General features: G+C 43.7%; 1 protein-coding gene across 37 annotated transcripts in view, besides 2 other annotated features; it reads right to left on the bottom strand.

Annotated features, from left to right (window-relative positions):
- The window catches only part of ARIH2 (ariadne RBR E3 ubiquitin protein ligase 2), a 67541-nt gene that overhangs the window by 13110 nt on the left and 29202 nt on the right, over positions 1-25229 (bottom strand). For 27 of the 37 annotated variants that reach the window (NR_146082.2, NR_146083.2, NM_001349210.2 and 24 more), the window contains 5 exons: positions 11594-11661; positions 8291-8354; positions 5998-6148; positions 4618-4739; positions 2569-2678 (listed from right to left, as the gene is read on the bottom strand). Coding sequence is in view for 33 of the 37 variants with exons in the window: in NM_001349210.2 (NP_001336139.1) it covers positions 2569-2678; positions 4618-4739; positions 5998-6148; positions 8291-8354; positions 11594-11661 (515 nt within the window). In the remaining 4 variants the exon portion in view is untranslated. Of the gene's footprint in view, positions 1-2431; positions 2679-4617; positions 4740-5095; positions 5213-5997; positions 6149-8290; positions 8355-11593; positions 11662-24176; positions 24208-25229 lie in introns of all 37 variants that reach the window. The other 10 variants (NM_001349225.2, NM_001349223.2, XM_047447278.1 and 7 more) reach the window with 3 other exon arrangements.
- Positions 9084-9731: an enhancer, noted in NCBI's record as "OCT4-NANOG-H3K27ac hESC enhancer chr3:49000975-49001622 (GRCh37/hg19 assembly coordinates)". NCBI's record gives its function as "activates a minimal SCP1, AML or CMV promoter by ChIP-STARR-seq in primed H9 embryonic stem cells {active_cell/tissue: H9 hESC(primed)}" and the evidence as "EXISTENCE:reporter gene assay evidence [ECO:0000049][PMID:30033119]".
- Positions 13240-13440: a silencer, noted in NCBI's record as "peak4646 fragment used in MPRA reporter construct". NCBI's record gives its function as "represses an SCP1 promoter by STARR-seq MPRAs in K562 erythroleukemia cells {active_cell/tissue: K562}" and the evidence as "EXISTENCE:reporter gene assay evidence [ECO:0000049][PMID:32103011]".

The following is a 25229-nucleotide window of genomic DNA, read 5'->3' as shown; positions in this document are numbered from 1 at the left end:
ATGGGGTTTCACCATGTTGGCCAGGATAGTCTTGATCTCTTGACCTCGAGATCTGCCCGCCTCAGCCTCCCAAAGTGCTGGGATTACAGGCGTGGGCCACTGTGCCCGGCCTAGAGCTTTTCAAATAGGTAAAGTTATCTCTCAAGGCTTGTGGAACCTTTACCTACCCAGAGTTATACTGAAATACTGCATGAATGTCTCTTCAACTTAAGCCTTTGTAAGACATGCTCTAACACGCACAAATAAAATATTTCTGTAGGCCGAGTGCAGTGATTCATGCTTGTAATCCTAGCACTATGGAAGGTTGAGATGGGAGGACTGCTTGAGCCCAGGAGTTTGAAACCAGCCTGGGCAATATGGTGAGATCCCATCTCTACAAAAAATGAAAAAATTAGCCAGGTGTAGTGCTATGTGTCTGTAGTCCCAGCTACTAGAGAGTCTAAGGCAGGAGGATTTGCCTGAGCTCTGGAGGTCAAGGCTGCAGTGAGCTGTGTTCGCATCACTGTACTGCAACGTGGACAACTGAGAGAGACCCTGTTTTTTAAAAAAAGGATTGCTTTAGACCAGGAGTTTGAGACCAACCAACCTAGGCAACATAGGAAGACCCTGTCTCTACAATTTTTTTTCTGAAATGGAGTTTCGCTCTTGTCACCCAGGCTGGAGTGCAATGGCATGATCTTGGCTCACTGCAGCCTCTGCCTCCCTGGTTCAAGTGATTTTCCTGCCTCAGCCTCCTGACTAGCTGAGATTACAGGCTCCTGCCACTATTCCTGGCTAATTTTTGTATCTTTAGTAGAGACATGATTTCACCATGTTGGCCAGGCTAGTCTTGGAACTCCTGACCTTAGGTGATCCACCCGCCTCAGTCTCCTAAAGTCACAGGGGTCCTAAAGCTGGGGTCACAGGTGTGAGCCACCACACTTGGCCCCTACAACAAATTTAAAAAAATTAGCTGGGCATCTGTAGTTTCAGTTACTTGGGAGGCTAAGGCAGAAGGATCACTTCATCCCAGGGGTTTGAGGCTGCAGTGAGCTATGATATGTATGTTAAATACCTTGTTTAAACATCTTGTTTACCAACTCCCAAGATGTCAAACACAGAGCTATGACTCTCAAAGGGCATGGTGAGGTGCTCTGAGAAGGACTCCTTAGCTCAGACCTAAGGCAGGATTGAGACCCACTTCCGGGAGTCTCATCGGATCTCCCAGTCAGATATGCACACAAGAATGCACAAATGCCAGAACGTGCAAAATCTGTAGGGTCATGATACATCTGATGACACTGAAACTTAAAACAGAAAAAAAAGACACTCCAATATTCGTCGGGCTAGGCTTCCATATTTTGAAATTTTCTTTTGTGGAGGCCAACAGTACTTTGTGGCTAGAAAAGGCCCTCAGGCAAATACCCAGGGAAAGAATTTCATAAAGTGGGACACAAGGATAAAGAACAATTACAAGGAGTCTTCTGAATCTGCTGTGATCCTGGGGGCTGCCGGATTTAAAATGAAAGAACCACTGCATTAGTGATTCTTAACCTTTGGTGTCAATAATGTCTTGAAATGCAGGCATGTGCGTACACACACACATCACATTTTCCATGTAGTTTCTCTGAAGCCCCACCATGAATATTCCAGGGAGGTATGATTAGGACAGATCTGGGCCTAAATTATGGCTCTACGATTTACTAGGTTTACCTTGTACCTTGATTTATTCATAGAATATAAGGGTCATGGCTAGGCGCGGTTGGCTCAATCCTGTAATCCCAGCACTTTGGGAGCCCAAGGCGGGCAGATCACGAGGTCAGGAGTTTGAGACCAGCCTGGCCAACACAGTGAAACCCTGTCTCTACTAAAAATACAAAAATTAGCTGGGCATGGTGGCACATGCCTGTAGTCCCAGCTACTCAGGAGGCTGAGGCAGGAGAATCACTTGAACCTGGAAGGCGGAGGTTGTGGTGAGCCAAGTATGTGCCACTGCACTCCAGCCTGGGCTACAGAGAAAGACTCCGTCTCAAGAAAACAACAAAAAAAGAGAGAATATAAGGGTCATATACAGTTGTGATAATGCAGGGTAAGTGATCAGGATAGTGCCTGTCACCTGGTAAGCCTTCGGTAAACTTTAGTTATTCCCATGGTATCTACTGAATGAAGTGAACCTTGAGTAGATGTAGAATATATTTATGACTTAGTTTAACAAAAATTAGCCAAGTAAGGCCAAGACAGAGAAAGATTAAAATGTTCAAGTTTATATCTTTCAAACACAGTAATATGTGATTAGCTATGCAGGCAGATACATCCCACACAATCTCTGGGCCATGAGACCTAGTAGCATAAGCCACAACACATTTTCCAAGAACCTGTGTCACTTCCTTGCCTCCAGACTGAGCATGTATTGAAGACCTAGTGGAATATGAGATGCTGGACATAAACCTACCCACTTGGAGCACAGCTGTTCTGTTGGCTCAGAGACCCTGCCTCTTCCAGTGCCGCCCTCACATGGAGCAACAGCAGTGGTGCTTTGGAGGATGGGGCATGAGCCCAGGGCTGCTCAGCACTCACACTCACTCTTACCAGAAGACCTCGTTGCACCGATTGCACTGTACTCGGCGAGCTCTAGGCTCCTGTACCCGAATAACCATGGGGCAGTCTGCACCAGGGCACAGCTGGAGCTGGTAATGACTCTGTGAACACACCAAGAGGAAACAATGAGGACATCTCTTAGTTGCTGTCTAAAAATCAGAACCCCCTGAATATTCAAACACTTTCTGTTCTCCCAGCTGATGACTTATACGAAGGGGCTATATAAATTCAGAAAGGATGTGAAGACCAAACGTAAGCCAGATATTAAAGAGGAATTTAGAACGTTTAGCTTAAACCAGGTAGCAACTCACTGGAATGATCTAAGTTTATATAGAATTGCACCAGGCATAGTGGCTCCTGCCTATAGTCCTAGCTACTCAGGAGGCTGAGGTGGGAAGACTGCTTGAGGCCTGAAATTTCAGGCTGCAGTGAGCTGATTGCACCGATGCATTCCAGCCTGGATGACAGTGAAACTCTGTCTCTGAAAAAAATAAAAAATAACAAGGCCGGGCGCGGTGGCTCATGCCTGTAATCCCAGCACTTTGGGAGGCCGAGGCAGGTGGATCACCTGAGGTCAGGAGTTTGAGACCAGCCTGGCCAACATGGTGAAACCCTGTCTCTACTAAAAAACACAAAAATTAGTTGGGTGTGGTGGCGCGAGCTTGTAACCTCAGCTACTCAGGAGGCTGAGGCTGCAGAATCGCTTGAACCTGGGAGATAGAGGTTGCATTGAGCTGAGATCGTGTCCCTGTACTCCGGCCTCGGTGACAGAGTGAGACTCCATCTCAAAAAAAAAAAAAAAACATATATCTGAGGAGCTCAATGACCCTCAAAGGCAGCAAACAGCATAAAGAACAAGGCCTTCTGTTTATCCTGCGGCATGTGCATGACAAGACCCAGACCATAAATTAATCTGAAAAGCTTAGGCAAAAAAGACAAAGATGAAAGTTATGCTGCATCGGGTGAATGGCTTGAGCTCAGAAGTTCGAGACCAGCCTGGGCAAGATGGTGAAACACCCATCTTTACGAAAAATACAAAAATTAGCTGGGTTTGGTGGTGCGCGCCAGTAGTCCCAGTTGCTCGGGAGGCTAAGGTGGGAGGATTGCTTGAGCCTGGGAGGTCAGAGGCTGCAGTGAGCCATGTTTGTGCCTCTATACTCCAGCCTGGATGACAGAGTAAAACCCTGTCTCCAAAAAAAAAAAAGAAGAAAAAGAAAAAGAAAAGAAAATTATATTGCATGGAATCAGCAGGCCTAGCAGATGGCCTAATAGAGGGAAAGGACTCCAAAAGTGACCACGCTGAATCCTGGACAAGTTTTCCAATTACTCAAAAAGCAATACCCCTTCTCTCTGCTCAACCACACAGGAAACTGAATCTAACAGCAGCTCCTAAATATGCCTAATTTGTATTCACCTGCTGACACACAATAGCTTCTTTAAGCAACTATGTATAAGGTGGGGAGGTCTGTCTATGGAAGAGAAAATCAAGACTCAGAGGTTAAAAAAAAAAAAAAAAAGAAAGAGGCTGGGTGCAGTGGCTCACGCCTGTAATCCCAGCACTTTGGGAGGCCGAGGGGGGCAGATCATGAGGTCAAGAGATCAAGATCATCCTGGTGAAACCCCGTCTCTACTAAAAATACAAAAATTAGCTGCGAGTGGTGGTGCATGCCTGTAGTCCCAGCTACTCGGGAGGCTGAGGCAGGAGAATCGCTTAAACCTGGGAGGCGGAGGTTGCAGTGAGCCAAGATTGCGCCACTGCACTCCAGCCAGGCAACACAGCAAGGCAGTCACACACGCAAAAAAAAGAGTGGTCACAAAGAAAGGAAGTATCCAAGTTTCACACAATGGTGTGTCTGATTCTAAGGCCTGTACTCTTCACTATCACTCCAGTGGTTTTCAAACTTTTTTTAAAGCCATGGAGCGCTTTCTTTGAACACTATCACTTAATGTCAGCCTAGTCTACAAAGTAAGTAACTGTGGTGACCCTCTGATGGAAGGTAGGCCCGGGAAGACAGAGGGCAGAACAAAGGCTGGCCATACCTCCACATAGTCCCTGAAGAGGTAGCGCCTGTATTTCTCTCTCAATTCTTCATTGGGAAGCAATGGAAACACAAAGTCCTCTGGTGTACGGAGTGGACAGTCCTGAGCCATGCAAGAGACTCCTGTTGAACAAAAACAACCTGATGGGGCCAGGTGCGATAGCTCATGCCTGTAATCCCAGCACTTTGGGAGGCCAAGGCAGGCAGATCACCTGAGGTCGGGAGTTCGAGACCAGTCTGACCAATATGGAGAAACCCAGTCTCTACTAAAAACACAAAAAATTAGCCGGGCGTAGTGGCGGGCGCCTGTAGTCCCAGCTACTTGGGAGGCTGGGGCAGGAGAATGGCGTGAACCCGGGAGGCGGAGCTTGCAGTGAGCCGAGATCCCGCCACTGCACTCCAGCCTGGGCGACAGAGCGAGACTCCGTCTCAAAAAAAAAAAAAAAAAAAAAAAATTAGCCAGGTGTGGTGGCACATGCCTGTAATCCCAACTACTCAGGAGGCTGAGGCAGGAGAATCGCTTGAACCCGGGAGGCAGTGGTTGTGGTGAGCTGAGATCATGCAATTGTACTCCAGCCTGGGCAACAAGAGCGAAACTGTCTCAAAAAACAAACAAACAAACAAACAAAAAAAAAACAAACCCAAAAAAGTGATGGACAAGCATACTGCAGAAGACACAACTTGCCCACCTAGTTCTGTCAACAAATCCAAGTTGCATAAAAGAAACTCTTCAAGCAACAGAATTTATTCAAAGAGAAGAGAGAAATTAGCATATTTTCACAGCAATGAAACTAAAATATTATCCCAAATTGTATCACTAACGGCACCATTAAATAACAAAACCATTTAAAAAATCCTTATATAGGTTCTTGACTAACAATTGAGTTTTGTGATGTTTAACATTATTTAGAGGTGATTATCACCAATTGTGGGACTTTGCAGATATCAATTAATGCGATGCTAATGTGTTTCAGTATCATCAAATCACAGTATAACAAATACTTCTGTAACTAATCATCAAATTTGATTTGTGCTATGTTACCTAAATAGCAGCAAACTCTTGTGGGCATTTCTGAGTTATGGCTGCCACTTGTGGAATCAAGGTAGGCAGCTTAAAGGATCGTTCTCCCAAAAGGTGAGAGAAGGTAGCTCTGCACTCACGCCAACATTTACAACAGTATATTTAGTTTTCTCGTTTTGCTGAGGACTGGGGAAAACTTTGTCACTGTTTGTATGGATGTATTTGAAAATCACTAGTTCTGATGATAAAAACCCCAATCAGGCTCAGAAGAAAATACTCAGTTTACTTGAGTACATGAAAAGGCAGAGTCAAAGATAAACACTTCATGCCAGCTTTTTATAAGTTTTGTGGCAGACTCACCCACGCCCACGCCGTCCTTGACGAGAACTGAGCAGTGCTGCTCCCAGCAGCTGCGGCAAAACTGGTGCTGACAGGCCAGAGAGAGTAGGTTTTCCTTTCGCACAAACTGCATACACACTGCACAGTGGTGAGGGGGATGGGATGTGGGAACCTGGAGAGAAACAGAGCCACATGAGCCAAAGAGGAGTCAGGTCCAGAAGGCCATAAGGGTACCTCATGCAGCCGGGTGCATGGAAAGTGATCCTCACCCTGCAACAAGTATCAGAGCTCAACTGCAATGTGTGGACTCTGAGTCCCAAGGGTACTAAGCTAAAAGTATATACCAGGAAGGCTTCCTGAAGGAGGTGGCAGCTGGGCTGGGCTTGCAAAATCACCAGGATTCAGAGGCAGAAACAAGGCTGAAATGAGAACTTACAGTGGTTTATAATGGCAGACTGAAAAACTCAGGGTTTCAGAATTGCCAAGGTCCTTAGAAGTCACTTAGTCCAAATTCTTTTAGAAGCTATCAGGTTTCTTTTGTAGACTACCCCTGTTAAGCACAGCAGAGTTGCCCCTCACAACTACTAGAAACCTAGTCACAAAGGTTATTAGAGGATGAGTTTATAAATCTTCTAACAGCCAACACTGTAGTTTTACTTGTCAAGGACAGTGGTTTCACTATATCGACGTACCCAAACCACAAAATACTACAGCCTTTACCAAGTTACAACTCATCCTTAATACACCAGATGTCACATGTAATTAATATTGGCGGGGGGGATGTGGAGACACCAACTAGGGGAAGAAACTCTTCTAGAATGTGTGCAAATAACTGTATAGCATGAACTCCAGAATCCACATCATGCTACACAAACTGGCAGAGAAAGACAATCTGGGGACCTTGGCTAAAACCACAAACCAATGGAAAAGTCCACTTACAAGAACATTAGGTTCTTTTTAGTTAACTGGGAATATAAAAAAACAAGTTGAGAAAAAGAACTGGATTCTCATGTTTATCCATTTTGCTTCTGGAAACCTTTGTCTTAAGAGGCTGCAGAAATTATGTGGTGATCTGAGCCCCAATTCTGCCTTCCAAGATCTATTTTAGCATGGCCCTCATTCAAAAAATATTCGACATATGTTCGTTTAGCTCCTAGATAAACAGGAAATTGCTATGCATTGTTAAAATACAGCTTCTATGGTAGGGGTGGTAAAATGATATGAGTTAATCACTATAACACACATGTAAAAGTTTATAGATATAATTAGGTGAGTTTCCAGGGGAATGATCCAGGAGACAGGCTTTGTCAGAGGTGGCTTAGATTTTTTTTTTCTTCTGATGGAGTGTCTGTCGCCCAGGCTGGAGTGCATGCAGGGGTGCGATCTTGGCTCACTGCAACCTCCACCTCCCGGGTTCAACCAGTTCTCCTGCCTCAGCCTCCCAAGTAGCTAGGATTACAGGCATGCGCCACCAGGCCTGGCTAATTTTTGTATTTTTAGTAGAGATGGGGTTTCACCATGTTGGCCAGGCTGGTCTCAAGCTCCTGACCTCAAGTGATCCGCCCGCCTCGGCCCCCCAAAGTGCTGGGATTATGGGCGTGAGCCACCGTGCCTGGCCGGACTGGGGTCTTTAAAGGTGAATTCCCTCCCTATAAGCAAAGGTGGAGCCAGAGTCTGAACATTCTAGGAAGGGAAGGCACAAACAGAAGACATATGCAGTAATCTCAGACACACCAAAGCACCCAGAAGGAATGGAGTGCAGGCTGAAAGTGCAGAGAGGAAAGTGGGGCTGGAGAGGGCCCAAGGACAGGCAATGACTTAGTCCCTATCTATAAGGAAACTTTTCAAACCATAACAGAAGATTTAAGTCAATACTAGAACAAATATTGTGGGCATGTTGAACTATAAACAAAGCAAAGAGAGCTCCTTTTTTTTTTGAGACAGAGTCTCGCTCTGTCGCCCAGGTTGGAGTGCAGTGGCATGATCTTGGCTCACTGCAAGCTCCGCCTCCCGGGTTCACGCCTTTCTCCTGCCTTAGCCTCCCGAGTAGCTGGGACTACAGGTGCCTGCCACCACATCCGGCTAATTTTTTTTTTTTGTATTTTTAGTAGAGACAGGGTTTCACCGTGTTAGCCAGGATGGTCTCGATCTCCTGACCTCGTAATCCACCCGCCTCAGCCTCCCAAAGTGCTGGGATTACAGGCGTGAGCCACACCGCACCCAGCCAAGTAAAGATAGCTCTTAAGGACACTGCAAGCCAAAGCAAGAACCACATGCAATTAGGAGAAGCCTCATTCAAGTAATAGACACTCACATGTTTTGATGGATTAGGCTGAACTCGAGCCTCAACAAGCAGTTGAGCAGAATTGGACTTGTATCTACAAAACAAAAAGCAGAAATGAAGGCAATCAGAAGCTAAAGACATTTTTACCCCTGAACAATAACAGGACAGAGAAAGATGTTTAGAGCATCTTTGTCTCTACTTTCTCACAGAACTAAGCTTCCTTTTATCTCAGTACAAAGACTTTTTTTCTCAAGACAGAAAATGCAAAATATAAAGGAATAATAAAAAATATAAAGCCCAATAAATCATGCTACATTTAAGAACCTCAATTCATCAGAAGACACCAAAGTCAAAAGCCAAGCCATAAGCTGGAAGATAATTCAATATATAAACTTCTAGGCCAGGCGCAGTGGCTTACTCCTGCAATCCCAGCACTTTGGGAGGCCGAGGCGGGCAGATCACTTGAGGTCAGGAGTTTGAGACCAGCCTGGCCAAGATGGTGAAACCCGTCTCTACTAAAAATACAAAAATTAGCTGGGCATGGTGGCACGTGCCTATAGTCCCAGCTACTTGGGAGCCTGAGGCAAGAGAATCGTTCGAACCCGGGAGGCAGAGGTTGCAGTGAGCTGAGATTGTGCCATTGCACTCCAGCCTGCAAGACAGAGCGAGATTCTGTCTCAAAAAAAAAAAAAAATTCTATATATATGGCTGGGCGCAGTGGCTCACACCTGTAGTCTCAGCACTTTGGGAGGCCGAGGTGGGTAAATCACTTGAGGTCAGGAGTTTGAGACCAACCTGGCCAATATGGTGAAACCCTATCCGGGAGTGTTGGCTCATGCCTGTAATCCCAGCTACTTGGGAGACTGAAGCAGGAGGATCGCTTGAACCTGGGAGGTGGAGGTTGCAGTGAGCAGAGACTGCACTACTGCACTCCAGCCTGGGAGACAGAGCAAGACTCTGTCTTTAAAAAAAATAAAAATAAAAATAAAAATAAAAAAAATAACTGGCAAAGGATCAGTATTCAGAGTAAACAAAACTCCTAAAAATCCATTTGGTTCTAGGAACTGGACATGGGAGAAGGGGGAAGGATCCATTTGGAATAACAAAATAACTCAATAAAAAATGGGGAGAAGACTTAACAGGCATTTCAAAGGAGGAGGCAGCACAAATGGCCATTAAACATATGAAAAGATTCTCAACCTCCTTAATAATACAGGACCATTGAAACAATTAGATGCCATTTACATCCACCAAACTGCAAAACTTTAAGTCTTACAATATCAGGAACACCTATATACCACTGCTGAGCGTGTAAAGTGGTAAATCACTCTGGAAAACAACCTGGAATTATTTAGCAAAGACAAAACTACACGTATGCTATAGCCAATAATTCCTTTTCTATATTTAACTCCAGAAAAATTACGTGACAGTAAGAGTTACCTACAATAATTTTCCATTTATAACAGAATTATCAAGTGGCAATAAAAGTGCCACACAAAGCCCAGGTCAACATATTTCCAAGATACCAGGAATTGGAGCAGAAAAGAATTATGTCTCATCTATGTGATTTCTACCTAGTCAGAATGCTTCCCTCAGCTATCCTTATTGAGGGGCCCGTTTTATTCCTAATTCCCACAGTAATATTTTAAGTATCTTTTGCCATCCAAATCTCCACTCCTGAGTTATGCTGAAAGAGTGTGGGCAGTGAGAGATATCCTATTGCCAGAACCTATGTGGTTCCAGAGTTTTGGGCAGTAGTATAATAATAAGGCAGCAGCAGTTCATCTGCAATTCCATCTAAATATATTCCGTTCTTGAGTACACAGGATGAGTGCAGTTAGTGAATCAGGAACGAATTTGCTCTTTCCTGACTGTGCTGAGCTGCTCCAGCTGGTATGTCCTTCCCAGTTGTGTTCAGCCCGGAGAAGGAAAGGCACGATCTTCCTCTGTAGATAAATTCTACTAAAAATACAAGAATTAACCAGGCATGGTGGCAAGTGCTGGTAATCCCAGCTACTTCATAGGCTGAGGCAGGAGAGTTGCTTGAACCCTGGAGATGGAGGTTGCAGTGAGCCAAGGTTGTGCCACTGCACTCCAGCCTGGGTGACAGAGTGAGACTTTGTCTCAAAAAAATAAAAATAAAAAAAAACATACCATACGAGAAAGGAAGATTCACTGCAGTGTGAAAGAGTAGGAATGGTAACAAGTGCTTCTCACCAGAGGGAATTTTGCTCCCCACGAGTTATTTGACAATGTTTGGAGACATTTTGATTGCCAAGGACTTAGAGGTGTGGCTTCTAATAGAGCCCAGGGATGCTGCCAGACATCCTACAATTCACAGATCAGGCCCCCCACAACAAAGAGTTATCTAGTCTAAAATGTCAATAATGCTGAGGATGAGAAACACTGTGCTAGACAGGGGCACACGCCTCCGAGGGTGAGCATAGGAGATCTCTACAGAGGATGCAGAGGAGGAGGTGCCCCTTTTCCTGACAACTTGTAAGACATCTTGAGACTCTAAGGTCTGTATCTTAAGATCTCTAGTTCTGGAGGAGGTGGAAAGAAATACTCAAATACACTGCTGGTAGAGGTGGTGGGTGGTAAAGTAGCCTATATTTTCTTTCTGTTTTTTTTTTTGAGATGGAGTCTCACTCTGCCACCAGGCTGGAGTGCAGTGGCACAATCTCGGCTCACTGCAACCTCTGCCTCCAGGGTTTAAGCGATTCTCTTGCCTCAGCCTTCTGAGTAGCTGGGACTACAGGAGTGCACCACCACGCCAGGTTGATTTTCATATTTTTAGTAGAGAAGGGGTTTCATCATGCTGGCCAGGCTGATTTCAAACTCCTGACCTCAGGTGATCCGCCCGCCTCAGCCTCCCAAAGTGCTGAGATTACAGGCATGAGCCACCACGTACAGCCAGCAGCCTACATTTTCTAAAGGAAATACAACTCGTACTATGATACAATCCTCAAGTTGACGTATCCAAAAGAAGTAAAAGATGTTGGCGCGTGTTACCTAGAAAGGCACTGATTAAAAATTAACAATGGGAAAGAAAATCTGAATTCACTGTCCAACAACAGAGGTTTGGAAAAAGTATGGAATATCTATGATAGAATACTGTGCTAGTATTAAAACTGGGGTAGAAGAATATACTGAAGACATGGGGAAAGTTCACAACATATTAAGAGAAGAGGATGTAAAATAGAATCCAATGTTTTAAAAATATACTATGCACATTGGAATATAGTCGAATATGGTCCAAAATGTAAACAATAATCACCACGGAGAGGGGAGCTATGGGCAATGTTCTCTCTCCTCCCCCAAATACCTTACCTGTCCAATATCTCTGAAACTTGCCAGTGGAAATTAACTAATATAAGTTTAGCAACTGAATGAGATACCTAGAAAGAAGAAAGAAAAAAAATCGAATTATAACTGCATTTTCTTTTAAAGTGTTTCGCATTTTGAGAACTGTATACATTCATGTCTATTATGCCAAGCCCAGGCTGGATTACCAAATTCCTCCTCTTGGTTCTCTGCTTTGTCTTTTAAGTTTAGACTCTTACAATCTTAGTGATTTCATGAATCTCTTGATTTTCAATCTTTGTTTTCATTAATAAATCTTTCAAGAAAATTAATTTTATCTGAAACTTAAAGACACTCATTTTACAGTAAATAACAACCTAGCATCTATTAATAATATAAGCAACAGGGCTGGAGTTTCCTTCATGTCATATATGTTCCCTCAAGCTGCTGTAGGAGGTTGTACGCCGGAAGCACATCTCTAGTTAGGCCTGTTACTTGTAGAAAATCCCCAGGCCTGGGTTTGCATAAACCCTACAGAAACACCAGAAAACAACAAACAAAATATAAAAACCCAAAACTCAGTTTAAAATCACTGAATTCCCAGCAGCCAATCAGTCCTAGTTGCAAGGACAGTTTCGAAATTTGTGGGCAGCCTTTCTGGCCTCTATATGCTCTCAGGGGACATTTAAAGCACATAGTTATAGCTACTAAAGAACCTCAGAAGGTGCATTGAGCTCGCAATTCTATTTCTGTAAAGTCTCCCTGAGGAAATGACAGAGGATATGTTTACCACAGGATTACTTACAATAGTAAAAAATTAGAAATAACCTAAATATCCAACAAAAATGAGTTAAATAATATATGACAGATCTATGCAATGGACTACTACATGGTTATTTTAAAAGATTGAGAAGTTTATTAACATAGAAAGACTTTTTTTTTTTTTTTTGAGACAGTCTTTGTCACCCAGGCTGGAGTGCAGTGGCATGACCTCGGCTCACTGCAACCTCTGTCTCCCAGGCTCAAGCGATTCTCCTGCCTCAGCCTCCCGAGTAGCTGGGATTACAGGCATGCGCCACCATGCCCAGCTAATTTTTGTATTTTTAGTAGAGACAGGGTTTCACCATGTTGGCCAGGCTAGTTTCGAACTCCTGATCTCAGGTGATCCGCCTGCCTTGGCCTCCCAAAGTGCTGGGATTACAGGTGTGACCCATTGTGCCCGGCCAGGTTTTTTTGTTTTTTTTTTTTTTAAATAATGAGCTGCACTACGGTTGTCTAGGCTGGAATACAAGGCTGTTCACAGGCATGATCATTGCACACTACAGCTTTGAACTCCTGGGCTCAGGTGATCCTCCCACCTCAACCTCTCGGGCACTACAGGTGCATACCACTTCACCCGCCTTAGAAGTTCACATTTTAATGTTAGGTTAAAGAAGCAAATAAGCATCTACATGTTATAATCGTAATTGGGAAGTTAAGCTAGTTACAAAACACCCTAAGTGTCAAGACTTGGGTGAGATCACAGAAGATTGGGATGTGTTTGGAAGCCTTAGATCAGGCTTCCCAGAGAGAGCAATACACACCATGAGGGTACTACTAAAGCAAGGAGAAAGTAGGAACATATTTACGGCTAGAGAGACAAGAAAACACACAGAACATTGTCTGCTCACTGGACTGAGTCCTTAAACAAGAGCTACCATGGACCTGTAAGGTAGTATGTGCCTGGTCCACAGATAAGAACTGCAGCAGAGGGAAGACACACAGTGAACACCACATGATCCCTCCTTCTAGCGCTCAAGTCACTCCTGAAAGGAGACAAGTGCGCACCTACTAAACAAGGGCACATCCCAGCATATAATGAGTGTCAAAGGCTATGCAATCAGTGAGTGCCTTCCTGTCCTACAGTCCAGGTACATCTGGAGAAAAATCAAGGACTCAAGACAGCTTACTTCACTCAGGATGGGGGTCTCTATTTTCCTTCCAAGGTAAGTGGCATCTGACCCGTGCATGCTGCCACTGTATTTTCTTTTCTTTTTTTTTTTTTTTTTTTTTTTTTTGGTATTTTTTAGTAGAGACGGGGTTTCACCATGTTAGCCAGAATGGTCTCGATCTCCTGACCTCGTGATCCGCCCGCCTCGGCCTCCCAAAGTGCTGGCTGGCCAGCCACAGTATTTTCTTGCAGAGGCCCACATAGACTCTAGGCCTAGGTTTCCCAAATTATGGCTGATATTTCTTCTGTGTCCTTAACAAAGCTATTCGTCCCCAACAGACACTATCACAAAATGAAAAGAGAGACAAGACATCTTGTTTAAACTTTAACAACTGCTGAAATACAGTCTTTGATACAAACAGCTTTTTTATTTATTTTTTATTGTATTTTTTTTTTTTTTTGAGATGGAGTCTCGCTGTATTACCCAGGCTGGAGTGCAGTGGTGCAATCTCGGCTCACTGCAAGCTCCACCTCCCGGGTTCACGCCATTCTCCTGCCTCCGCCTCCCTAGTAGCTGGGACTACAGGCGCCCACCACCACACCGGGCTAATTTTTTGTATTTTTAGTAGAGATGGGGTTTCACCGTGTTAGCCAGGATGGTCTTGATCTCCTGACCTCGTGATCCACCCGCCTTGGCCTCCCAAAGTGCTGGGATTACAGGCGTGAGCCACCGCGCTCGGCCTATTTTATTATTATTATTTTTGAGACAGGATCTCACTATGTTTCCCAGGCTGGAGTGCAGTGGCATGATCTTGGCTACTGCAATCTGCACTTCCTGGGCTCAAGTGATACTCCCAGCTCAGCCTCCTGAGTAGCTGGGACTACAGGTGCAAGACACCATGTCCAGCTAATTTTTTTATATTTTGTAGAGACATGGTTTCTCCATGTTGCCTAGTTCAGTCCTGAACTCCTAAGCGCAAGCAATCTGCCTGCCTCAGCCTCCTCCCGAAGTGCTGAGATTACAGGTGTGAGCCACTGAGTCCGGCCTTACCTTTTTTTCTTTTTTTTGAGATGGAGTCTCCTTCTGTTGCCCTGGCTGGAGTGCAGTGGTACGATCTCGACTCACTGCAACCTCTGCCTCCCGGGTTCAAGCAATTCTCTGCCTCAGCCTCCCAAGTAGCTGGGATTACAGGCGCCCGCCACCACGCCCAGCTAATTTTTGTATTTTTAGTAAAGACAGGGTTTCACCATCTTGGCCCGGCTGGTCTTGAACTCCTGACCTCGTGATCCACCAGCCTCGGCCTCCCAAAGTGCTGGGATTACAGGCGTGAGCCACCGTGCCCGGCCTATCTATTTTTTTAAATAGAGATGAAGTCATGCAGGCTACAGTGCGGTGCCTGTTCACAGACACGATCCTACTACTGATAAGCACAACAGTTTTTTGTTCTGTTTTTTACAGACAGGGTCTTGTTTTGTTGTCCAGGTTGGAATGCAGTGGCATGATCATATCTCACTGTAACCAAGAACTCCTGGGTTCAAGCAATACTCTCACCTCAGCCTCCCAAGACACTAAGACTACAAGCCCACACCACCACTCCCAGTTGATTTGTTGTTGTTGTTGAGAGAGGGTCTCATTATGTTGCTCAGGCAGGTCTCAAACTCCTGGTCTCAAGTGATCCTCCTGCAGCACGGGAGTTTTGACCTGCTCTGTTTCCAACCTACGTCAGTTTACCCCTCGAATAGTTTTAAAAAACATGAAGTGGGGCCAGGCGCAGTGGCTCACACCTGTAATCCCAGCACTTTGGGAGGCCAAGGCAGGTGGATCACAAGACCAGGAGATTAAGACCTGTTTGGCTAATATGGTGACATCCCGTCGCTACTAAAAATACAAAAATTAGCTGGGTGTGGTGGTAGGTGCCTGTAGTCCCAGCTACTCGGGAAGTTGAGGCAGGAGAATCGCTTGAACCCGGGAGGCGGAGGTTGTAGTGAGCTGAGATCGCGCCACTGCACTCCAGCCTGGGCGACAGCAGAGTAAGACTCTGTCTCAAAAACAAACAAACAAACAAACAAACAAAAACAATGAAGTGATACTGTTTTAGATGAACTCCCTGCTGGAACCTTTTCTTTCTTCTCATACCCAGTGGGGCCCAATCAGCCTTACACCATGCTTTCTGTTCTGACTTCTACATGTCTCATTATGCATGACCACCAAGTCCTAGCAAAGATACTATGCCACCTAGTAACTCAGAGGAATTCTGACCATGTCCAACAGCTGCCGTCTTTTTTCACTACAGATGGGCCCTTTACACTAAGAACAGGGGTCAGGGTTGACTCACAGATCCACAAAGCCCAGAAATGGACTGGACACTGGGTAGCCATTCAACAAATGCTGATTATTAAATGGTATGTCTTTAAGCTGTGGATTTAAAATAAAATTTTGTTGTTTCATTAGAAAGGTCAAGAAGGTTTAACACTGATCTCTTGATTTCAACAGCACCAACAGCCACAGTGAAGCCTCAGAATTAACACACTAGGTAGTGCTCACCTACAGATAACAACATAACCCTCTACTGAAGCCAAGAATTTCCTAATGATTACAAGTCTGATAATGACCAACTCAGAATATCCCAGCAGAGCTGAGTTCTGGTGAGAACAAACAATGTGAAGGGAGATATGCCTACCACTTTATAAAATGGACAGTGGTGAGGTGTAAATCTATTCTTTTAATGGCAACAGCCAAGAGGACATCAATACGTATAGGATAGGCCAGGCACAGTGGCTCGTGCCTATAATCCCAGCACTTTGGGAGGCCGAGGCGGGCAGATCACTTGACGTCAGGAGTTTGAGACCAGCTAAGTTGTGGCCAACATGGTGAAACCCCGTCTCTAATAAAAATACAAGAATTAGCTGGGCGTAGTGGCGGGCGCCTGTAATCCCAGCTACTTGGGAAATCAGGAGGCTGAGGCAGGAGAATCGCTTGAACCCGGGAGGCAGAGGTTGCAGTGAGCCGAGATCGTGCCACTGCACTCCAGCCTGGGTGATAGAGCAAAACTCCATCTCAAAAAAATAAAAAATAAATACACACACACACACACACACACACACACGTCAGCTGTATGCATCTCCCAGCAGCCTTCTGTAAGAGACACTACTGGGATCCCCACATCAAGGTGGGGGTGACTGCCAGGCACAGTGGTTCATGCCTGTGGTCCCAGCTACTCAGGAGGCTGAGGCGGGAGAATTGCTTAGCCCAGGAGTTCAACACCACAGCCAGCCTGGCAACACAGCAAAACCCTGTCTCTTAAAAAAAAAAAAAAAAAAAAAAAAAAAAAAAAAAGTGCCGGGCGCAGTGGCTCACGTCTGTAACCCCAGCACTTTGGGAGGCAGAGGCAGGCGGATCACCTGAGGTCAGGAGTTCGAGACCAGCCTGGCCAACACGGTGAAACCCCGTCTCTACTAAAAATATAAAAATTAGCTGGGTGTTGTGGCGGGCGCCTGTAATCCCAGGTATTCGGGAGGCTGAGGCAGTAGAATTGCTTGAACCCAGGAGATGGAGGTTGCAGTGAGCCGACATGGTACCACTGCACTCCAGCCTCGGTGACAGAGTGAGACTCCGTCTCAAAAAAAAAAAAAGTAAAGGAGATAATTACACATATTAGGTTGATAGTACACAGAAGATTGGAGACTCTCTCTCTCAAAAATCTACTACAAACCTGATGAGATTCTGAGACCACTAATTAAGGGAAAATGTAGTGTCACTGCACCTCATCCAGTAATGGACACCAGGAAGGATCTACAGGAAAGCCAGATTCCCCAGAGTCCTCTGAGCAAAAGCAGCACAGAGATGGAGAAAAACAGTGAGAAAATGATACTCTAGAATAATATATTCTAAAAGGTAGTCTCAGCAAGGAGGCTACCTTCTCCCTGATTTGGGTCACAAGAGAGAACTGACTGAACCCCCATCTCAACTCCCCAGCAGTTTTCCAGAGGAAGCAGTGGCCACCTTGAGCCATCTTGGCCTCCTGGCAGGAGGGCCAAAACAAATCTTCTAAACAATATTAAGCCAGATTAAAGGTAAAAATCTGTCTGAGTACAAACAGCTGAGCTTTCTAAGGAACGAACTAGTATTCACACCATTAGTCTTTAATGCTTGAAAGAGCTCAACAATCCATTTAGAATCTATCACAGTCAACACTTTCATAACTGAGTCCTTCACCCCCTGTCCCCTTGTTACCCTTTATAATTTGTTCAATTGTGAAGAGAAAACCTTTCAGTAGAATCAAGAAGAGCTCTTGCTGGGCTGTTGTAATGAAGGAGCTAACAACCTGTTGGTAGTTAGGATTAAGTATTATCAAGACAACTTATAAAGAAAAGGCCAAATCTTTTCCAAAAGAAAAATGGATCCAGGGTAGTAAACAACCAATGTAAGCCAAAAAAAAAAAAAGACTAATGACTTAGAAGGAACACATGTGACCAATGTGGTGTTCAGAAGAAACTTGCAGTTCTATTAGATCAACATGTAACCAGAGGATTAAAAGTCCTATTTATTTATGAATGCTTTTTCTTTTTCGTTTCTGTTGAGATGGAGTGTCATTCTGTCGCCCAGGCTAGAGTACAGTGGCGCGACGCTGGCTCACTGCAACCTCTGCTTCTCGGGTTCAAGTGATTCTCCTGCCTCAGCCTCCCAAGTAGCTGGGATTACAGGCACTCAACACCACGCCCAGCTATTTTTGGTATTTTTACTAGAGATGGGATTTCACCATGTTGGCCAGGCTGGTCTCGAACTCCTGACCTCAAGTGATCATCCTGCCTCGGCCTCCCAAAGTGTGGGGATTATGGGCATGAGCCACCACACCCGGCACTATGAATGCTTTTTCTATTTCTAGAAACATTAACTGAGGAAAAAACTAGAAATTAAAAACTAGAAAGTTTCTTGTCCAAAAGGAGTCTCAAGATAATTACTGAGTAATCTGAGTCTCTAATCAGAGATAAAAAAGGTATCTATTGTTCCCTCCATATCAAGGGCCAAAAAGGGTACCATTCATTAGGTTACTGTTTCCAGCAAACCCATTCTCCAATTCATTTCCACTATTCCCCAGAGGAAATCTCATCCCTGTTTAAAGAGCAAACCCTAAGATGGTGGAATCTCTTTGACAGTCATTTTGTACATTCACAAAACCATGAGTAAAGAATACTTACAGGCTGGGTGTGGTGGCTCAAGCCTGTAATCTCAGCACTTTGGGATGCCAAGGTGGCAGGATTACTTGAATTCAGAAGTTTGAGACCAGCCTGGGCAAATAGTGAGATCCTATACGTAGAAAAAAACTTTTTTTTTTTTTTGAGACAGAGTCTCACTCTGTTGCTCCGACTGGAGTGCAGTAGTGCGATCCTGGCTCACTGCAAGCTCTGCCTCCCGGGTTCACGCCATTCTCCTGCCTCAGCCTCCTGAGTAGCTGGGACTACAGGTGCCCACCACGATGCCTTAGTAGAGACGGGGGTTTCACAGTGTTAGCCAGGATGGTCTCGATCTCCTGACCTTGTGATCCGCCTGCCTCGGCCTCCCAAAGTGCTCGGATTACAGGCGTGAGCCACCAAGCCCGGCCTTTTCTTTTTTTTGCGACAAAGTCTCGCTCCTGTCCCCACGCTGGAATGCAATGGCGCGATCTTGGTTCACTGCAACCTCCGCCTCCCAGGTTCAAGCGATTCTCCTGTCTCGGCCTCCCAAGTAGCGGTGATTACAGGCACCTGCCACCACTCCCGGCTAATTTTTGTATTTTAGTAGAGAGTGTTTCACCATGTTGGCCAGGCTGGTCTCAAACTCCAGACCTCAGGTGATCCACCCGCTTCGGCCTCCCAAAGTGCTGGGATTACAGGTGTGAGCCACCACGCCCAGCCAAAACATTTTTTTTTTAATTAGCTGGGCATGGTGGCATGTGCCTGTAGTCCCAGCTACTCAGGAGGCTAAGGTAGGAGGATCGCTTGAGCCCAGGAGGTAGAGGCTGCAGTGAGCCATGATCACGCCACTACGCTCCAGCCGGGGTGACTCAGCAAGACACTGTTTCAAGAAAATGAATAATGGCTGGGCGTGGTGGCTCACACCTGTAATCCCAGCACTTTGGGAGGCCAGGTGGGCGGATCATGAGATCAGGAGATCGAGACCATCCTGGCTGACACGGTGAAACCCCGTCTCTACTAAAAATACAAATAATTAGCCGGGCGTTGTGAGGCACCTGTAGTTCCAGCTACTCAGGAGGCTGAGGCAGGAGAATGGCGTGAACCCGGGAGGCGGAGCTTGCAGTGAGCCGAGGTCGCACCACTGCCCTCCAGCCTGGGAGACAGAGCGAGACTCCGTCTAAAATAAAAAATAAAAAAAAGAAAATGAATAATCATGTTTAATAACTATAATACTTTTCAAAGCTTATGGGGTCTAACTGCCAAAATCATAAATTAAAAATTCACAGATTATTCCTGATTTTAATTCAGTTTGGCTCATAATTTGATAAGATGTTGATTTCAATTGATGAATTTCAATCTACTCAGAATTGCTGGCCAGGCGCGGTGGCTTACACCTGTAATGCCAGCACTTTGGGAGGCCGAGGCGGGCAGGTCACCTGAGGTCGGGAGTTTGAGATCAGCCTGGCCAACATAGTGAAACCCTGTCTCTACTAAAAATATAAAAATTAGCCGGGCATAGTGGTGGGCACCTGTAATCCCAGCTACTTGGGAAGCTGAAGTATGAGAATCGGTTGAACTCGAGAAGCAGAGGTTGCAGTGAGCCAAGATCGCGCCACTGCACTCTAGCTTGGGTGACAAGAACGAGACTGCGTTTAAAAAAAAAAAAATTGCTGACAGTAGAAATACTAAGATATTCTTTCTTTATGCACATATACCAGGCAATATAAACTCCCTTGTTGCCAAATTCAAACATTTCTCATACCTTATCTTGCTGACAGAAATCAGACACTTAACTTCCTTCTGCCTTAATGACCCCCTCTTGATCTCTATGATGTCTTTTGCAGCACCTGTTCAGGTACTCTGTGCTCTTCCTCTTGTATCCCCATCTTGCCAGTGGGGGGCACCACATTCCCACTCCTCTCAAGGTAGGACTGTTGGCCTTTTCCTCCACGTCTCACTCTTCCTTAACCACTTTACCCTCTCCCATCATCACCACTCCAGTGTCCAATCTCTAGTTCTTCCTCTCCTCAGCACTCCCATCAGAAGGGCCTCACTCACATGGAAAGGCATCTTAATGTATATCCCTTCCACTCCATCATCCTCAGGATGAGCTTCCTGACACCCTTATGCAACAGTAATAATAACACAATTCTTGCAGATCCCTTAACTCTTGCCAGGATCAGTTCCTACCTTGTTTAAAACCCATCACTGCTCTCCAGTATTGACAGGACAAACTTTATATGCCTTAGTAGAAGAGAGTCTTCAGGACCCATCACCTAATTCCTCCCCACAGCAATTCACTGAATGATTCCAGAACCCCCATATGTTTCTCTTAACTGTCAGCTACCAATAATGCCCTTCTTTGTAGCATACATTTAGAAATTAAAGAACATACTTCTATAGAACCCCTGTGTCAAAGCAGGAATCAAAAGAGAAATTAGAAAATGTTTTGAACTGAATAACAAAAATACTACATAATTTGTGAGATGCAGCTAATATAATGCCTACACAAAAATTTAAAACTATAAATGTATATATTAAAAAAGGTCCAAAAATCAATGACATAAAGATCTAACCTAAGACGCTAGAAAAATTTAGTCACTGCCGTGTATTACAGCTAAAAAAGGGAAGCTAGAAAAAGATGACTAAGTTAAAACGAAGTAAAAAGAAGAAAATAGTAACAATTAAAAAGAGAAAGAAATAAAATCCAAGTAACAGCAAAAATTAACGAAGTCTAAAAATGGATTCTTTAAAAATATCAACAAAGTTGATAAAACAGAACAATTAGGAAAAAAGAGAAAACAAATTATCCATAACAGAGGTAGAAGATGGACCACCCCCTACAATTCTTATAGACATTAAAGGGAAAATAAGAAAATGTTATGAATAACCTAATTCTAATAAAATTGACATCTTAAATGAAATTAACATGTTCTTTGAAGAATACTTACCAACAATGACACAAAATGAAAAAGAAAAACTGAGCAGCTCTTTATATAGTAAAGACATTGAAGTCATGATCGAAACCCTTCCCACCAAGTTCCAGGCCCAGGGATTTTACTGATGAATTCTATCAACACTAATTTTACATAAACACTTTTACAAACTAGAGAAGAAAGGGACATTTCTTCCAAACTCATTTTATGAGGTTAGCATAACCATGATAAAACATAACCAAGAAAAAAAACCCCAATATTCCACAGACATAGACACAAAAATCCTTAATTTAAAAATTTGCCATTGCACTGAAGCCTGGACAAGAGTGAAACTCCACAGGGGGAAAAAAAACACTAATAAATGAATTTATGAATTTACTAAGGTAAAAAAAATACAAAGTTGGCCTGGTACACTGGCTCACGCTTGTAATCCCAGCACTTTCAGAGGCTAAGGCAGGCAAATCACTTGAGCCCAGGAGTTCAAGACCAGCCAAGGCAACATGGCAAAACCCTGTCTCTACAAAAAGTACAAAAAATTAGCTGGGCATGGTGACATGAACCTGTTGTCCCATCTACCTGGGAGGCTGAGGTAGAAGGATCACTTGAACCTGGGAGGTTGAGGTTGCAGTGAACCATGATAGCTCTACTGCACTCCAGCCTGGGTGACAGGGCAAGACACTGTCACAAAATAAAAATTAAAAAAAAAAAAAAAAAGAAGAAGAAAGAAAATACAAAGTCAATATATACAAAAACCAAATGTTAGAATTCAAAGAAAGAGCCATAAAAGTATTTCTATATAGCAGCAAATTGAAAAATTAAGTGGGTGAATTTTAATAATTTATTTTATTTAACCTAATATATCTGAAATTGTATTATTTCAACATGTAACACATAAAAAAGCATTGATAATCTATTTTTATCCTTTGTTTCATTCTAAGTCCAGTCTGTATTTTAGACTTACGGCACATCTCAATTCAAACTGACTGTATTTCAAATGAGCAATGGCCACACATAGCTACCATACCGGGCAGCACAGCTACAGATTTTGAACACAACAATCAAAACCAATCAAAATGAAAATCCCAATCAAAATCACAAGCTTTTTAATAAAATTAATAGTTGATTGCAAAATCTGTAGAAATGTAAAGGATCCAGAATATCCAAAGCAATCTTGAAAGAAAAGAGCAAAGTTGAAAGACTTACACCATCTGACTTCAAGACTTACTATAAAGCTACATACGGTAATCAAGACAGTGGAGATACTGGACTTCATCAAAATTAAGCTTTTACTCAACAGACATCATTTAGAAAATGGAAAAGTAGGAAGCAGAACTAGATGGAGTAAAAAAAGGAAAAAAAGAAAATGGAATAGACAGACCTATAGATCAATAGAACAAAACAGAGTCTAAAAGGAAACTCATACATGTATGGTAAATTTTCAACAAAGGTGCCAATGTAATTCAATGGAGAAAAAAAGTCTTTTCAACAAAGGGTTCTGGAACAACTGAATAATTGTTTATACATAACAAACAAAACACAGAACACAGACCATTACTTCATACCACACAAAAATTAACTCAAAAGAGTTCACATATCTAAATGTAAAACCTAAAACTATAAAATTGCTAAAAGAAAGCACAGAAGAAAATTGTGCCTTAGTTTAGGCAAAGATTTCTAGATATGACACTAAAAGCACAATCCTTAAAAGAAAAATTTTTTAAAAAAAGAAAATAAAGATAAACTGGACTTCATCAAAATTAAGCTTTTACTCTTCAAAAGACACCATTTAGAAAATGGAAAAGTAGGAAGCAGAACTAGATGGAGTAAAAAAAAGATTAAAAAAAAAAGATACAGGTAACAGGATGGGAGAAAATATCTGCAAATCATACATCTGATAAAATAATTCAAACTATGTAAAGAATTCTCTCTTAGAACTCAGTAAGGCACAAAATGCAATTTTTAAAAACAGACAAAGTATTTGAACAGACATTTCACCACAAAAAATAAATGTATGAATAGCAAATAAGCACAAGGAAAGATCATTAATTACATTAGTGGTTAATGACACTAGTCATTAGGGAATGCAAATTAAAACCACAAGGTATTACACACTCACTAGAATGATTATAATCCAGAAGACCTAAAATACCAAGTGCTAACAAGGAAGCAGAGAAACTGGAACCCTTACATAATGCTAGTGGGAATGTAAAGTAGTAGAGCCACTTTGGAAAACAGTTTATTTCTTAAAATGTTAAACACGGCTGGGCACGATGGCTCACACCTGTAATCCCAGGCCAAGGCAGGCGGATCACGAGGTCAGGAGATAGAGACCATCCTGGCTAACACGGTGAAACCCCCGACTCTACTAAAAACACAAAAAACTAGCCGGGCGTCACGGCGGGCGCCTGTAGTCCCAGCTACTCAGGAGGCTGAGGCAGGAGAATGCCATGAACCCAGGAGGTGGAGCTTGCAGTGAGCCGAGATCGTGCCACTGCACTCCAGCCTAGGCAACAGAGCACGACTCCGTCTCAAAAATAAATAAATAAATAAATGTTAAACATACACTTACCATGTGACCCAGCAATCCCACTCCTAGTTATCTATACAAGAGAAATGAAAACACATGGCTATATTAAGCCCTGGCCATGAATGGTCACAGCAGCATACTGCGTAGTAGCCCAAAATTAGAAACAACCCAATGTCCCTCAACTTACAAATGAATGGGTAAACAAAATGTGGCATATCCATACAATGGAAAATCATTATTCAGCAATAAAAGAGAACACACTACTGATGCATGATACAATATGGATGAACCTCAACCATTATGCTAAGAGAAAGAACCAGGTAACAAAAGATTACATATTGTATAATTCAAATTGTATGAAATTTCTAGAAAAGGCAAAACTACTGAGACAGAAGATCAGTAGTCACTTGGGAACAGGGATCAACTATAAATGAACACGGGAATTTTTTAGGTGATGAAATGTTCTAAAACTGGGACTATGGTAATGACTACATAGTTGTATACATTTAATAAAACTCAAATAATGGTACACTTTAAAATGGATGAGTTCGGCCGGGCGCGGTGGCTCACATCTGTAATCCCAGCACTCCTGGGAGGCCGAGGTGGGCGGATCACCTGAGGTTGGGAGTTCCAGACCAGCCTGACCAACATGGAGAAACTCCATCTCTACTAAAAATATAAAATTAGCACTAAAAACACAAAATTAGCCGGGCGTGGTGGCACATGCCTGTGATCCCAGCTACTTCAGAGGCTGAGTCAGGAGAATCGCTTGAACCTGGGACGCAAAGGTTGCGGTGAGCCGAGATCGCGCCATTGCACTCCAGCCTGGGCAACAAGAGCAAAACTCCGTCTCAAAAAATAAAATAAAATAAAAAGGAGGCCGGGCGCAGTGGCTCACGCCGGTAATCCCAGCACTTTAGGAGGCCGAGGCGGGCGGATCACAAGGTCAGGAGATCGAGACCATCCTGGCTAACATGGTGAAACTCCATCTCTACTAAAAATATAAAAAAATTAGCCAGGCGTGGTGGTGGGCGCCTGTAGTCCCAGCTACTCAGGAGGCTGAGGCAGGAGAATGGCGTGAACCTGGGAGGCGGA

This window comes from Homo sapiens, chromosome 3 (assembly GCF_000001405.40).
Source record: "Homo sapiens chromosome 3, GRCh38.p14 Primary Assembly".
Lineage (NCBI taxonomy): Eukaryota > Metazoa > Chordata > Mammalia > Primates > Hominidae > Homo > Homo sapiens.
This window is presented reverse-complemented; position numbering and strand designations above follow the sequence as displayed.